Source organism: Homo sapiens, chromosome 11 (genome assembly GCF_000001405.40).
Source record: "Homo sapiens chromosome 11, GRCh38.p14 Primary Assembly".
NCBI classification, from domain to species: domain Eukaryota; kingdom Metazoa; phylum Chordata; class Mammalia; order Primates; family Hominidae; genus Homo; species Homo sapiens.
In genome coordinates this window covers 5,578,893-5,595,892 of record NC_000011.10, presented here as the reverse complement: position 1 = coordinate 5,595,892, position 17,000 = coordinate 5,578,893, and the positions used below count along the sequence as shown (strand labels likewise).

Below are 17,000 nucleotides of genomic sequence, written 5' to 3'. Positions count from 1 at the left end.
CGGCCAACATGATGAAACCCTGTCTCTACTAAAAATACAGAAATTAGCTGGGCGCGCCTGTGGTCCTAGCTACTCGGGAGGCTGAGGCAGGAGAATCGCTTGAACCCGGGAGGTGGAGGTTGCACTCCAGCCTGGAGACAGAGCGAGACTCTCTCTCAAAAAAAAAAAAAAAGAATTTTTGAAGGTAGCAACGCAAAGCTGTTCATCTTACCTGATGAACGGCAAATCCGGAGGCCTTTGAGAACACCAGGCCAGAGATGACCCTTGTAAATTGTCTGCAGTGTACTGTAGCTTTCTAATATCATATCAGAGTTTAATTACACTGATAATACACCTGTACTCCATATAGACGTATTAATTAAAATGTCTAAATAAACATATAAAGTTATACGAGTAAAAGCCCCTTTGCATAATGGCATGTTTTGCCAAACGATCATTAAAATTCATCAGTTTAAAATTACACGTATGTATGTATAAAGCTGTGTGTGTGTATCTGTAATTTTGACCTATATAACTAGAAGACAATCTTTGTTTTTATTTAGGTCTGATGAATACATGTAAAGCTTATTGAGCCTCAGAACTCTAACTACAGGGTTTCAATAGCACAGAAACTCTGAGAAGAAAAAGAATGTCAAAGTTCCTCCCTAAGGAGACTGATTAGGTGAGTATCACCTTGCCTTAGAAGGTGGCTTGGGGAGGGAGGTATAGAGAGAGAAGGGACTGGGGTGTCCATACAAAAGTCTGGACGGAGGATTGGGCAGTAGGGAGAGAGCTGGGTTAAGTATCAAGAGATTTCTCTGGACAGTCCCCAGGCAAATGAAAGGTCATTGGAATCTCGTAAGTGCAGACATGTGTCACTATTTCAGTGACTACCTCATGTCTGCAGGCTTAAGAAGCCACGCAAAGGTTATTTCAGATCACCCTTTGTGTAGCTTTCTTCACAACGGTTTTAGGTATGGCTGCCTCCATATTGCCCCTGGATGACGCTTCAGGTCAAAGCCTGCTTATGCTCTGAAATTCTCCTGACCCCACCCAAACTGCCCAGTATGGACACCACCCTGCCACTGGCCCAGCCAACATTTAAGTCCCTTGGAATACAAAATGGTATGATTGACACCCAGAGGGTTAGAAATATTGGAAAAGGGATGGAGAAGCCCAACCCAGAGTCCCTTCTCAGGCCATTTTCTAAGAGCTGATATAAATGGAAGTAACTTACAGGCTCCATAGTCTTGTCAGCATAGGGCTTCATTTCTGGGGCTAGTAGGCTCAGTTAAAAAAAAAGGATGTTGGCTGGGCATGTTGGCTCGCTTGTAATCCCAGCATTTTGGGAGGCCGAGGTGGAAGGATAGCTTGAATCCACAATTTTGAGGCCAACCTGGGCAACATAGTAAGACCCTGTCTAAAAAAAATAAGTAAATTGCCAGGCATAGCGGTACGTGCCTGTAGTCCCAATTACTTGGGAGGCTGAGAGGTGGGAGGATCACTTGAGCCCGGAAGGTTGAGGCTGCAGTGAGCCATGATCCTGCTACTGCTCTCTAGCCTGGGCAACACAGTGATAATCAGTCTCAAAACAAAAAAGAAAACAAAAAACAGAATGAAAGACTGTTTCTCAGTGTGCAGAATTTTTCCTTTTTGTTTGCTAACCAAGGCAGTTTTTATTTTCTCTATAATTTCTCATCTTGAACAGGGAGATTGGGCATTCTGACGGTTGAGAAGAAATGAAGGTACTTGGCAATAATTCAAGGGGTCTCGAAAAGTTAGATATAAATTTACCACATAATCCATCAAATCCACTCGTAGGAATCTACTCAAAAGAAATGAAAACATATCCGTGCAAAGATTTGTACACAAATGTCCATAGCAGTTTTACTCATATTAAAAAATGGAATCAACCCAACTGTTCATCAAGTATTAAATGTATTGAAAAACAAGTGGTATACCCAATACAGTGGAATACTGTTAGTGTTAAAAGGGAACCAAGTATGTGGGATCCAGAGGTTTGGTGGGGTAATATGATGCATCCAGTAGGACAGGTTTGAAGGTAAAGAGGGCACAGATTTGCTGACAGCCCCAAGTTCCTGAATACTCAGAGTACTTGCAGTTCTAGACTCAGGACCCACTGCTGCAGTTCTAGACTCAGGGTGGTATCAACAGAGCCAGCCTGTTATTATTACAATACTCAATATTAAATACTCAGTATATACCAGGAATATTGTTTAGTGCACAGGTTGAGGTGTCAAGATTTCTTAATAGCAATAAGTGGATATTAACATTTGATAGGAAAGAGGTTTCAGGAAAAGCAAACAGGACCATGACAAGGGTCACAGAATATTCTCATAGCCAAATAGTGATAAAAAAAATACAAACTCAGGAGATAGATTTTCTGTGAGCAAATCTCTAATATGCTCGAATATATTTTCTTTGAGGAAATCTCTAATATATTCACAGGAGAGAGACTTCCTGTGAAAAAAATCTCTAGTATATTTTTTCAGTACAACTTGTTTGAAAGCAGTGTTAGATGATTCCTGTTGTCAGAAATGTTTCTGCCCCTCTCATGGAAAACCCTTCTTAACTCATTACTACCAGCTGGGAGCTGATGGGAACAAAAGAAAAGAAAAAAGTAGATATTGCAAGGCTAAGATTAAGAATCAGGGTAGTTTATGCTTGAGAATTCAGGATAGGCCTAACTGGATTTTCTGAAAGATAATTGTTAACATCTGATTACAGGAAGAACTTCAGTAAAACCAAATGAAAACAAATTTCAGGGAGAAACACCTCTTGTTCCAGAGGCTTAGGGATGTAGGAGAAACAAGCCACCAATTTTGTTTTCAGATGCTTCTGATCATCAAACATGGACCTAATTAATGCATTTTTTTGGTCCTTTCCTCCCTCTCTTTTTTCCATCCTTCTTGTTTTCCCTACTTTCCTCTCATTTTTTCTTCTTTTTTCTTTTTCTTTTTTCTTTTTTTTTTTTTTTTGAGACAATCTCACTCTGTTGCCCAGGCTGGCATGTAGTAGCACAATCTCAGCTCACTTCAGCCACAAACTCTCGGGCTCAAGTGATCTTCCCACTTCAGCCTCTCAAGTAGCTGAGACTAAGGGCATACACCACCGTGCCGGGTAAATTTTTGTGTATTTTGTAGAGACAGGATTTCATTATGTTGCCCAGGCTGATCTCAAACTCCTGGACTCAAGCGATCCACCCACTTCAGTCTCCCAAAGTGCTGGGATTACAGGTGTGAGCCACCACGCCTGGCCCCATCTTTCCTTTGATATTTTATATTTTCTTCCTTCCTTCTTTTTAAAAATTTGTTTTGTTCTTTCTTTTCAGCAGACACATATTAAACTATATATGTCATATAGCACGGTATTTAAGATGGTATTTAAGATGATGGACTCTGGAACCAGTTTTGCCAAGATTCAGATCCTAGCTCATTTACTTACCATCTGTATGATTTGGGGCAAGTTACTTAACCTCTCTTGGGCCTCAGTTTCCCTATCTGTAAAATACCTACTGCATAGAGTTATTGTGAAGACTAAATATGCAAGTATATGTGGAGTACTTAGGACAGTCCCTGAAACACAATAGCTCGTCAGTGAGTGATAGGTAGCATTATTAACTATAATGAAGTACCAAGCATTTGGCAGGGCTCTGGAGTAATACCGATGAATAAAACATGAATTTTGCTGTGCATATATTCACATTCTAGTCAATTTGAAGAAAATCAAGCTAGTCACTTAAATATAGCTTTTTGTTTGTTTCTTTCCTATTATCTCATTTTCTCTAAATCCCCTTCCTAGATAATCCCATCCAGTTTCCTAGCTGACAAAGTCCTAACATTAACTATAGATCAGACCTCTTTTGGGCTCCAGAGTCCATGTGAGTAACTAACTCACAGGTAGAACAAAAACAAGATGTTATAACCTCAGCGGACTCATCTGGTTTAACTTTTAAGTGTCATAGTTGTGAGCTGTTTTTCAATTGCCACAGCCCCCCGGGGCTAAAGGTCACATAGCCTGAACATGCCTAGATAAACCAAGCATGCAACCACAGGTGGAACCCAAATGCTCAGACTGAGGAGTAGGGACTGAATTAAGAAAGAACCTCACATGGCAGAATTCAGGATCTAATCAGATGAGCCCTTGCATCACCCCATGGCAGGATCCAATCAGATCATGTCTCCCAGCATCACCTCATTGCAAGATCCAATCAGATCATACCTCATTAATTTTTTTTTTTTTTGAGGCGGAGTTTTTGCCCTTTTTGCCCAGGCTGGAGTGCAATGGCACGATCATGGCTCAGTGCAACCTCCGCCTCCCAGGTTCAAGCGATTCTCCTGCCTCAGCCTCCCCAGTAGCTGGGATTACAGGCATGTGCCAACACGCCCAGCTAATTTTGTATTTTTAGTAGAGACAGGGTTTCTCCATGTTGGTCAGGCTGGTCTCCAACTCTTGACCTCAGGTGATCTGCCCGCCTCGGCCTCCCAAAGTGCTAGGATTACAGGTGTGAGCCACCACGCCCGGCTAACCATTTCTTCTGTCTCCTTGCCAGTCTACTTGCAATAAAGCTTTGCTTTTCTCAAAAGGTGCCATGGTATTGGCTTGTATGTCAAGAGGCAAGCCCATTGATTGCTCAGTAACAGTATATAATATTAGTGTTTATTTGCCCACCAACTTGTTTATTCTCCTTTATTACTTATCTTGATGAATGGTACAACTAGCCTTTTTAGTTTCCTCAGAAACAATGAACTCCTAAATTCTTTCCTCTTCCTCATCCCAACATTCAATTTTTGTCCTTTTAATTTCTCCTTTTGAAGAAGTTTTATCCATTTGATTTATTTCTCTCCATCTTTACTGTTACTATCTTAGATGCAAGTGTGTCCGGAATTGGTGGGTTCTTGGTCTGACTTCAAGAATGAAGCCGCGGACCCTCACGGTGAGTATTACAGTTCTTGAAGACTGCGTGTCCAGAGTTTGTTCCTTCTGATGTTCAGATGTGTTTGGAGTTTTTTCCTTCTGGTGGGTTCGTGGTCTCGCTAGCTCAGGAGTGAAGCTGCATACCTTCGCGGTGAGTGTTACAGCTCATAAAAGCAGTGTGGACCCAAAGAGTGAGCAGTAACAAAATTTATTGCAAAGAGCAAAAGAACAAAGCTTCCACAGTGTGGAAGGTGACCCCAGTGGGTTGCCACTGCTGGCTCAGGCAGCCTGCTTTTATTCTCTTATCTGGCCCCACCCACATCCTGCTGATTGGTAGAGCCCAGTGGTCTGTTTTGACAGGGCGCTGATTGGTGCATTTACAATCCCTGAGCTAGATACAAAGCTTCTCCACGTCCCCATCAGATTAGTTAGATACAGTGTGTCCATACAAAGGTTCTCCAAGGCCCCACCAGAGCAGCTAGATACAGAATATCTATTGGTGCACTCACAAACCCTGAGCTAGACACAGGGTGCTGATTGGTGTGTTTACCTTGAGCTAGATACAGAGTGCCGATTGGTGTATTTACAATCCCTGAGCTAGACATAAAGGTTCTCCAAGTCCCCACCAGACTTAGGAGCCCAGCTGGCTTCACCTAGTGGATCCCACACAGGGGCTGCAGGTGGAGTTGCCTGCCAGTCCTGCGCCATGCACCCGCACTCCTCAGCCCTTGGGTGGTCGATGGGACTGGGCGCCCTGGAGCAGGGGGTGGCACTCGTTGGGGAGGCTCCAGCCGCACAGGAGCCCATGGAGGCGGGGGAAGGCTCACGCATGGCGGGCTGCAGGTCCCGAGGCCTGCCCCGCAGGAAGGCAGCTAAGGCCCGGCAAGAAATCGAGCGCAGTGCCGGTGGGCTGGCACTGCTGGGGGACCCAGTACACCCTCCGCAGCCGCTAGCCCGGGTGCTAAGCCCCTCGTTGCCCGGGCCGGCAGGGCAGGCCGCCTGCTCCCAGTGCGGGGCCCGCCAAGCCCACGCCCACCCGGAACTCCAGCTGGCCCGCAAGCGCCGCGCGCAGACCCGGTTCCCACTCGCGCCTCTCCCTCCACACCTCCCTGCAAGCTGAGGGAGCCGGCTCTGGCCTTGGCCAGCCCAGAAAGGGGCTCCCACAGTGCAGCGGTGGGCTGAAGGGCTCCTCAAGTGCCGCCAAAGTGGGAGCCTAGGCAGAGGAGGCACCGAGAGCGAGGGAGGGCTGTGAGGACTGCCAGCACGCTGTCACCTCTCACAAGTAGACCATTCCTATAGTCCACTAATTTGTCTTTTTTGTTTTAGCCTGATTTCTGTTAAAAGATGTTTTCTTTTTTTAAAAAAAATGAGAGTTTATGGACATATAAAATGAACACATGCCGAAGATTTATTTAGTTAATTAAGGAGAGAATCAGCAAGATGGTGTAACCAACCCAAAGGAGAATTTAAAAACACACATAAATACAAGTGATCAGAAAAACTTGCAATGAATTTACAAAGAGATGAAAACAAGTCAACATCCACAACAGAATCATCAAATACATGTCTATTTGAGACAATTAATTTGCATTTCTATGGGCAAAATCACTTGCATGATTTTCAGCTCAATATAATTTCCATAATAAATTATATTAACCTCAAAGACGATACAAAGCTAAGAAAACTCAGAAGAGGACACTAGATGAGTAAGCATTTTTTTATTTTAAAATCTTTCATAATTTTTCCTCTAAGATTCCATCTACAGTGACTATTTGACCAGTTTAGAATACAAATAAATATGCTCCACTGTATTTATTATAACCTCTCAGCTTGGATTTTTGAGGAAAAGAAAAACTTCAATTGTCTGAGATAGGTATGATAAAAATGTGTGGCAGGGGGCCCTGGCTCACGTCTGTAAATCCAGCACTTTGGGAGGCCGAGGCGGGCGGATCATCTGAGGTCAGGAGTTCAAGACCAGCCTGGCCAACATGGTGAAACCCTGCCTCTACTAAAAATATAAAAAAATTAGCCAGGTGTGGTGACATGTGCCTGTAATCCCAGCTACATAGGAGGCTGAGGCAGGAGAATCACTTGAACCCAGGAGGTGGAGGTCGCAGTGGGATGAGATAGCACCACTGCACTCCAGCCTGGGCAACAAAGCGACACTCCATCTCAAAAAAGAAAAAAAAAAAATCTGTGGGCAGGTAGAAGGAGTTACCAAAAGCTAAAATGGAACATACACCCTAGGATTGTTTAATTCTAATCACAATTGATGTCAACATAGACATGTAAACAAGTGCTTTTTAAAAAGCTTCTCATTAATAAAATTAGTATAAAGAAAGAAAGAAGGTCACCATCTAGGTTGTGACACCTGAAACTCAAAAAAAAAAAAAAAAAACCAAAAAGGTCTTCATATGGTCTTGTTTGGGGTTAAAGATTAAAATAATAAGGGGATTGAGGACCATAAGTTTTGAAAAACTTCAAGTGGCCAGGCGTAGTGGCTCACGCATGTAATCCCAGCACTTGGGAGGCTGAGGCAGGCAGATCACGAAGTCAGGAGATCAAGACCATCCTGGCTAACATGGTGAAACCCCATCTCTACTAAACATACAAAAAATTAGCAGAGGGTGGTGTTGTGTGCCTGTAGTCCCAGCTACTTGGGAGGTTGAGGCAGGAGAATCGCTTGAACCTGGGAGGTGGAGGTTGCAGTGAGCTGAGATCACGCCATTGCACTCCAGCCTGGGTGACAGAGTGAGACTCTGTCTCAAAAAAAAAAAAAAAAAAAAAAGAAGAAGAAAAGGAAAACTGCAAGTGAGATGGGGAAGAAACTGTTCCACCTTTTTCTTCTTATTGCTCCTTCAATTAAAATTATTTTAGGTCAGTCGCGGAGGCTCATGCCTGTAATTTCAGCACTTTGGGAGGCCGAGGTGGGTGGATCACCTGAAGTCAGGAGTTCAAGACCAGCCTGGCCAACATGGTGAAACCTCATCTCTACTAAAAATACAAAAAATTAGCCAGGAGTGGTGGCCGGCACCTGTAATCCCAGCTACTTGGGAGGCTGAGGCAGGAGAATTGCTTGAACCCTGGAGGTGGCGGTTGCAGTGAGCAAAGATGGTGCCATTGCACTCCAGCCTGGGAAGTAAGAGCAAAACTCCACCTAAACAAAAAGAAAAAAAAAATTTTTAAACATCTGTCCAGTTGAAATGGTAAAGCTGTTGAAGGGATTCTACTATGGTCTAAAAGTTTGTGCTGCACCCTTTCCCCACAAAATTTATACATTTAAACCTCATCACCATTGCAATAGTATTATGAGGTGGAGCCTTTGGGAAGTGGCTAGGTCATGAGGCTAGAGCCCTCATGAACGGATTAGTGCCCTTATAAAATAGACCCAAGAGAGACCTTCTCATCCCTTTCTCCATGTGAAGACACAGCTAGAAGGCACCATCTATGAATCAGAAAGTGGGCCTTTACCAGATGCCGAATCTGCTGGCACCTTGTTTTGTACTCCCCAGCGTCCAGATATTTGAGCAGTAAATTTCTGTTGTTTATAAGTTATCTAGTTTCTGATATTTTGTTATAACAGCCCAAATGGACTGAGATAGGTTTAGAATATGCTACTCCAAAATGTACCACTGTGGCATAAGAATCCTTTTAAGCTGAAGGTAATTGAGAAAAAGCAGACACAGGATGAGCTCTCTGCCCTCCTCCTAGCTGCCCAAAAGCTAAACACAAATTCCTCTTGTGATGGTGACCCCCTCCCCTTGACTCATACTTCTCCGTATTACCAGAAAGGGAATAACAACCTATCACCACAGACAATATGGCATTGAGAAAGAGCCTACACAAACCTTACTAATTAGCCCTTATCCTCCATTAGTTTCCACCACATTTTTACTTTCCTACAGTTTGCTACCCTTAGAAGCCTGAAACTCTTTTTTGTCACTTTTTAAAAATCTATTGTTCTTTTGTTAAGATGTTATGTAAGCCAATGTTCTAACCACCCTTTTGAGTTAGTTATCAATAGGTTTCTCCCATGTTAATGCACATATTAATAAATGTGTTTGTTTTTCTCTTATTAATCTGTCTTTTGTCAGTCTAATTTTCAGGGCCCTAGCTGGAGAATCTAGGAGGGTAGAAAAAAGGTTTTTTTTCCACTATGCCTTCATTCATTTGAGCATTCTCAGGGATAACTGAGAATAACTCTCTAGGTAATGTTAGGGGAAGATTCAGACGGAGACTTGGGAGAGTGTTAGGAACTCAGTGAAAAGAAATGTCTCAAATTCCTTGATATTTTTTCCTATAAATTTAGTTACACCCTCTAAGATAAATCTCCCTTATTTAATCTCTCACTCAGGGTCTCAGCCTTCAATCTATAAGAGGAGGCCCTTTTGCGGTATCTCTTACATGAAACTGCTTCTTACATAAAAAATGACAGATTCTTCCTTTGATTCTAAACAAGTACACATTACCTTTGTGGAGATAGCATCAGGAAATTATATTTTTCAATTTTTATTTTATACTAACAGAATGTGTTAATTTTGTAATCAAACTATAATAACAAAAGAAGCTATAGAAGAAAATCTTGATCTTGAAATAAAGAGAAACATAATGAAACTAATTTTATAAGTATGGAGACTGGCAAACACAAAAATTAAAAATTTCTCTTGAAATTGCTTGTTGACTTTTCTATTGAAAAGCAAATTGGAAAATATATTTTTGGTATATGCTTCTATATTTTGCATATATTCTGCTATATTTTTTATTTTGTAAAGGATTAATATAATTTATATATCAAATATTAAAATCAGTTAGATCAAGAAAACTAGAGAAAAATGAACAAAGATAATTCAAAGAAGATAACATGTAGATACGAATTATTAAAAGATAGTCTTTTTTTAAATTCCAAGTAAAAGAACAATGTGATAATATCACAAGTGATACTGTTCAATTGCTATGAATTTACTAGCTAATATTTACAGACAATTTGGCAGCATCTATCAAAATTTTAAATATGCATGATCTATGATCTAGATGTTCCACTTTTAGGCATTCAGCTAGTGGAAATACAGTTCTACCAGAGGTGCACACAAATATACCTGCAATAAAGCATATTCTAGCTATTTTATATTAGTTAAAATTTTGATAGCAATAAAGTATCTATTAATATGCCAGTTATTTATTTCTTATATCTAGCTAATCTCATTAATAAACAAAACAACCCCTGAAGCAGGTATTATTACTCTTTTTTTACAGAGAAGGTAACTGAGGCTTAAAGAGGATAATTACCAAATTGCCTGGTGACAAACAGTTAGGTAGTATGTACTGAATATGGTGACTGCAATCTAACCCGTCTGTGTGATTATAATGCCTTTTTGTAACTTGGTAAATGTTAACAAGTTTTTATACTTTAGTAAGCATGAGGGGGTGGATTTGAAACCTAGGAATTCAGACTGTATTTAGGTTGTTTCAAATATTTATGTGTTACAAAAATTTTGTCATAATCTTTAACCTTGTACACATCATTTTGTACATAAGGAGGCATATATGAAATGTAACTCCTATAAACGTGATTTCTGGATCAAATAATAAATTCATACACATTTTGTTTGGTGTTTAAAAATTCTATTGTATGGTATATCCATAAGCAAAGTATGAGAGGCTCTGTTTTCTAACATTATGGCCAGCACGAGGTTAATCCTTTCAACTTTTACTAATCTGACAGGTAAGAAATGGTATCTTGGTGTAGTTTTTATTGTATTTTCTCTTATTAATAGTATGCAAAGCATATTCTAATGATGTATCTGTTCTTTATGTTTATCAGGCTTTTGATCATTTTTTTCCTCTACATTTTGAGGAACTTATAAGTATTAGGAAAAGCAAGCGTCTTATCTACAATATAACTTGAAAAGATTTCAGTTTGTCATTGACTTTTGTCTCTTTGCTTATGATGGTTTTTTTTTTCCCCATGAAAGAAATGGAGGTATATGTCTTATTAGAAAATCATAGAGAAATTCCTGTGGAAGAGACATATAAACAGGGAAATGCAGGAAAGGTGGGAATGAGTCATGTAAAGATACAGGAAAAGGAAGTTTCAGGAAACAGGAATAACAAGCACAAAAGCCTGAAGAAGGAAATGAGCTTGGTGTATCTGTAAAACAGCAGTCAAGTTTATATGTCTTCAGTGGCATAGTTGATTTAAATAGTAGATTTACATGCTGCTATAAAGACACATGCACACGTATGTTCATTGCGGCACTATTCACAATAGGAAAGACTTGGAACCAACCCAAATGTCCATCAATGATACACTGGATTAAGAAAATGTGGCACATATACACCATGGAATACTATGCAGCCATAAAAAAGGATGAGTTCATGTCCTTTGTAGGGACATGGATGAAGCTGGAAACCATCATTCTCAGCAAACTATTGCAGGGACAAAAAACCAAACATCGCATGTTCTCACTCATAGGTGGGAATTGAACGATGAGAACGCTTGTATACAGGAAGGGGAACATCACACACCGAGGCCTGTAGTGTGGTGGGGGGAGTGGGGAGGGATAGCATTAGGAGATACAACTAATGTAAATGACGAGTTAATGGGTGCAGCACACCAACATGGCTCATGTATACATATGTAACAAACCTGCATGTTGTGCACATGTACCCTAGAACTTAAAGTATGATAATAAAAAATAAATAAATAATTTTAAAAAATAGATTTAAAGAAATCTCTACAATTCTTTAAAGAATACATTTAATTTTGACATGTTAGAATTATATTTGATTGAATTTAGTTACTGTAAATATTAGATTAAAATATTTTTGTTTTATTCTTGTTTTCTTTTTCCTAGTCCTCCTGGTAGAAACAAAGTTTGAGTATGATACACAATCTGGTTAGGTCTCAGAACAACCATTATGATGTCGGATGAGCCATTCATTAATAATAATTGAAACAATAATACAAATAAAGCTATCCTTTATAGAGCACTTATTTATATGCAAAGTGCTGTTATAAGATGGATATATATTTATTTCTCATTAAATCATTAAGAGAAAGTTACTATTATTATTTCCCTTTTAAAGATGAGAAAGTTGCTGGGTGCGAGAGCTCAGGTCTGTAATCCCAGCACTTCAGGAGGCTGAAGCAGGCGGATCACCTGATTTCAGGAGTTCGAGACCAGCCTGGGCAACATGGCAAAACCCCACTTCTACTAAAATATGTAAATTAGCCAGGTGTGGTGGTGCATACATGTAGTACCAACTGCTGGGGAGGCTGAAGCACAAGAATCGCTGGAACCTTTGAGGTGGAGGTTGCAGTGAGCTGACAGCAGGTCACTATACTCCAGCCTGGGCAACAAAGCAATGCTCTGTCTCAAAAAAAAAAAAAAATGAAAAAGAAAAAGAAAGTTGAGATACAGAGAAGTAAAGTCACTTGCCCAGACTCACACAGTGAGTAAATGGAACAGTCATTTCCAACAGAGTCAATTTCTAAAAGATCTAGAACTCAAAACTTGATCACCACATCTTACAGTTTTCTTTTCCACATAATAAGGATGCTAATGACTCCTCTCTCTAATTTTTATTATCATTGTCTAGAGGATACAGAGAGCTACGTGGAAAGAAAAAGGTGGAAATGAACTGAACATTCATTGAATGCTTATTTGCAATAGATACTTAATGTTATATTATTCTCATCTTCTTCAAAGATGAGCAGAAAATTAAGTTCATGGATATTATGCAGACTCTCAAGCTTATTGACCAAGTAGTACATCTAACTTTTAAATCCATGTCTCCTGGCACCTAGCACAATTCTCTCCTCTACGTGACATTAAGTCCCAGTGTCTCCCAGGAGGAAGAACTCCTGCAAAGAAGAATGAGTCTAGAGCAGAAAAGTGATGTTAAATTTTTTTAAAGAAGAATTTTATACACATATACTCATATTACATATTCGCTATGAGAGGGTTCTCATGCTTTGGGGCAATATGATAAAAAGCCTTCAAAATAATCTTTTCTTTCTCAAGAATTGTACACTCTAGACAGGGAGTTAAGACACAAAGATGAGATTTCTAATAAAACGAGAAGCAATATACTAATGATCCAACAAAATAGTGATTTAGATGAAAAGTGGGGCAGAATCTCAAATGATGGCTCTTTCACTGTGGGCTGAGTATAGGAGTGGGCAGGATTGAGATGTGAACTGTTTTCAAGAATAGTTTGGTCTTGGGCTGAAATTCAGGTTGAGTTGCTCTTCTCAATCTTAGAGAACATCAGCCTAGGCTAATTCCTGATGTTAGTAGTTATAATTGAGCAAGTTAGTAAATAACATATAGATGTTTATATTTCTTTCACTATTTATTAAATAATATATCCATCCATAGGTATCAGATATGAGTAGGTATTTTTGTTTCTAATTTTAATGATGAATATAACTTTTAAATACAAAGCATATTTGGATGGAAAAGAGTCCTATACAATTGTCTACATGTCAGGGAAAACTTTGTCCAGAACAGGTAATGGTTAGTTCAGAGTTATTTGATAGAAGTTGATAAATGGATATGTCCACCTATTTATGCTGCTGCTGCGTTAGTATCTCTGAACATGGGTATATACATGTATGTGATTGTGAATTTGTGCAACTGGTAAGAAAAATATCATTCCATGAGACTATAAATTCTTAGATATGACAGTTCTCAGGGGTTCCCGTCATGAGAAAGATGTTGAACTGGCAAATGTCAAAATTATATACAAGTGATTAAGAACACATTAGGAAGCCAATGTAAGCAGTTAGAAAAAGGTTTCACTTAGAATGTAAACTTGGTTCTTACATTTCCCCTAACTAGCTAGTTTTTCTTGAGGTGATGGGAAATCAGATTGCATTTCAATAGGAAGAGTAAGAGAATGAGACAGATTTTACTAAAGATTTCCAATAAAAGAAATCAGAGGTGGGTTTGAATAGGTGACATATTTAAAAAAATTGGGAGATCGATGAGAATAACACAGGGATAATTGGAAGATGTAGAGGTGAGAATGGGCTAAATACGGGACAATTGATAGGTATAGAAAAGGGTTGAGACTAAGTTGAAAGCATTTATTTAGATCCTTTGGCAAGATTTGAAAACATCTGCTTAGCCCCTTCCAGTATTGGCTTAGTCCTCACTCCATAAATAACGGGATTGAGCATAGGAGGAATGACAACGTAGAGGCTGGCCAGGAGAATATGGACATAGCATGGGACGCTTCTCCCACCAAACCTGTAGGCAAAGACAGAAAAAAGCGCAGGGACATAGAAGAGTAGGATGACACAGATATGGGATCCACAGGTACTCAGGGCCTTGGAGCGGGCATCTTGAGAAAGGAGGCGGAAGACTGCTTGGAGGATGTGGATGTAGGAAACAGTAATAAGCATGATGTCTAGGCCTGTGGAGAGAAGAGCAGCTGCCAACCCATACCAGACATTGATGGAGATATCAGAACAGGACAGATGGGCAATGCCCATGTGCTCACAAAATGTGTGTGCAATGATATTGATCTGGCAATAGTGCAGGTGCTCAAGGAGAAAGATGGATGGAAACATAATGATGAAGCTGTGGCTCAGGGCGGCAGTGACGATCTTCCCAATGACCTTGCTTGTGAGGATTGTGACATATCGCAGGGGGGAGCAGATGGCCACATAGCGGTCAAAGGCCATGGCCAGCAGGACAGCAGAGTGAATGAAGAGGAAGTGAATGAAGAACATCTGAGTGAGGCAGCCATCAAAGGAAATGAGGCTATAACCTAGCCACAAATTGGCCAGGGCCTTAGGCATGGTGGTGGTAGAGAGCAAGACATCAGCACTGGCCAGCATAGATAAGAATATGTACATGGGCTCATGCAGGATTGCCTGGGAGAGGATGACACAAATTAGGATGCCATTGCCTTCCAGGGCAGTGATGTACATGATGCAGAAGGGGATGGACAGCCAGATATGTAGTTGCTCCAGCCCAGGGATGCCAGTGAGGAAGCAGCCTGCTATGCGAGTGTCAGAGTTGTTCATAGCACCTATGCTGTTAGCAGAAAAAAGGGCCATGATTTTATGCAGCGCCCTCACCTGTGCCATAGGGAAAAAAGAGCTTCAGATTTTTGAATACATTAGTAGAGTGTCCATATGCACAAGGCCTGCATATACTTACAGGCCCGATGACAGTTATGGCTTCTGCACACAGGCATATCTCTACAGATAATCACACACAGGCTCTGCACACAGCCATATTCTCCGTAAATAATTACACATAGGCTCTGCACAGTTACAGGACCTGCCCACAGACAGGCTCAGTGTTCTTACTCAGAAGCTCTCCACACAGCTTTAAGAATTTCAGGAAACTAGGCCGGGCGCAGTGGCTCACGCCTGTAATCGCAGCACTTTGGGAGGCTGAGGCTGGTGGATCACGAGGTCAGGAGTTCAAGACCAGCCTGGTCAAGATGGTGAAACCCTGTCTCTACTGAAAATACAAAAAATCAGCTGGGTGTGGTAGCAGGCGCCTGTAATCCCAGCTACTCGGGAGGCCGAGGCAGGAGAATCACTTGAACTTGGAGGGCGGAGGTTGCAGTGAGCCGAGATCGCGCCACTGCACTCCAGCCTGGGCGACAGAGTGAGACTCCGTCTCAAAAAAAAAAAAATTTTTTTTCAGGAAACTAAAGGGCTCAAAAACATTGCCAGACTCAGCACAGTGCCATAGGTCCAGAAAAGAACAGGGATAGGTAGAACATCAAAACCAATCTGTACAATCTCTTTGGGCATGTGAACTGTAATGAGCTCTGCAAAAGCCCCAGGCCCTACAGAGAGGACTGCAGTCCTACAACAAGAGGACTAAACAACAATTTGATTAGCAGATTATGTGAAAGAGTAGGGTTGGGGGTGGTGGGCACTGCCAACCCTACACCCATTTTTCCCTAGGCACAGATGCGCTAAGTATGAAGGCAATTAAGGTAGCTACGGCATTTAGAAAGAACACCGCAGAGGGTGTGAAAAAACCTGGGTCAGAGGTCTGCCCTGTTAACTATTGGCTGCTTGATCTTGGACAAGTCACTGTCTTCTCTGAGTAACAATTTTCTTTCTTTCTTTCTTTTTTTTTTTTTTTTGAGACGGAGTCTCGCTCTGTCGCCCAGGCTGGAGTGCAGTGGCGCGATCTCGGCTCACTGCAAGCTCCGCCTCCCAGGCTCACGCCATTCTCCTGCCTCAGCCTCCCAAGGAGCTGGGACTACAGGCGCCCTCCACCACGCCCGGCTAATTTTTTTGTATTTTTGGTAGAGACGGGGTTTCACCGTGTTAGCCAGGATGGTCTCGATCTCCTGACCTCGTGATCCACCCACCTGGGCCTCCCAAAGTGCTGGGATTACAGGTGTGAGCAATTTTCTAATTTTTAAAATGAGCATAATTGTTGTTTTGTTGGTATATTAAGCTAAATTTTCTCTGTGGAAAGCTTATTAAATTGCGTGTGACTTCCTGAGTCACCTCTGTGGCTGTGAAATGTGGCACTGTCATCCAGAGCAGAAAGGAAGGTGTAGAACAATGCTTCTGAAGCTTGGTCTCCACAGCACCATCAGGGAACTTGTAAATTCTTCGGCCCTACCACAAACCTACGGATGAGAAAACCTAGAGTTGGGATAACATTCTGTGTTTTAGCAAGCTCTCTAGGTGATTCTGATTCATGCTGAAGTTTGTGAGCCACTGATGTAAGAACTTTTTGAACTTTCTTCCCTATCTACTCTAGATGTCTATCAGTTCCACCAGGATCATTACCTTTTAGTATCCATTGGTTTCCCCTGCATCTGTAAATTCTCAGACTTCAACTAAATCTAACTAGTGTTATCCTCAGCTTACATAGTCAGGATGTGAAAAAATGACACAATCACATAAGTAGTCTTTAGTACATATTAGGACACATGATTCCTCCTTAGTCCTATTGAACTATTCTCACAATGAATATACGACTTTTTTTTTTTTTTTGAGATGGAGTCTCACTCTGTCTCCCTGCCTAGAGTGCAATGACGTGATCTCCGCTCACTGCAACCTCTGCCTCCTGGGTTCAAGTGATTCTCCT

At 41.1% G+C, this 17,000-nt stretch overlaps 2 protein-coding genes across 5 annotated transcripts in view, besides 2 other annotated features; one reads left to right on the top strand and one right to left on the bottom strand.

The window, feature by feature from the left end:
• TRIM5 (tripartite motif containing 5) overlaps positions 1-7,258 on the top strand; it is a 96,440-nt gene extending 89,182 nt beyond the window's left edge. For all 4 annotated transcript variants that reach the window (XR_007062522.1, XR_007062518.1, XR_007062519.1 and 1 more), the window contains 2 exons: positions 543-661; positions 4,870-7,258. The gene's annotated coding sequence lies outside the window, so the exon portion shown is untranslated. The remainder of the gene's footprint in view (positions 1-542; positions 662-4,869) is intronic.
• On the bottom strand, positions 14,009-15,016 carry OR52B6 (olfactory receptor family 52 subfamily B member 6). Its single transcript, NM_001005162.2, has one exon. The coding sequence runs from the start codon at positions 15,014-15,016 to the stop codon at positions 14,009-14,011; it is 1,008 nt and encodes a 335-aa protein (NP_001005162.2).
• Positions 14,480-14,774: a silencer, noted in NCBI's record as "tiled region #4920; K562 Repressive DNase matched - State 8:EnhW". NCBI's record gives its function as "weakly represses a minimal TATA promoter and a strong SV40 promoter by Sharpr-MPRA in K562 cells {active_cell/tissue: K562}" and the evidence as "EXISTENCE:reporter gene assay evidence [ECO:0000049][PMID:27701403]".
• Positions 14,480-14,774: an enhancer, noted in NCBI's record as "tiled region #4920; HepG2 Activating non-DNase unmatched - State 24:Quies". NCBI's record gives its function as "activates a minimal TATA promoter and a strong SV40 promoter by Sharpr-MPRA in HepG2 cells {active_cell/tissue: HepG2}" and the evidence as "EXISTENCE:reporter gene assay evidence [ECO:0000049][PMID:27701403]".
• Positions 15,017-17,000: the final 1,984 nt, after the last annotated feature.

Coding starts and splice junctions, on each gene's coding strand:
- OR52B6 (NM_001005162.2), bottom strand. CDS start 15,016: ATGGCACAGGTGAGGGCGCTGCATAAAATCATGGCCCTTTTTTCTGCT.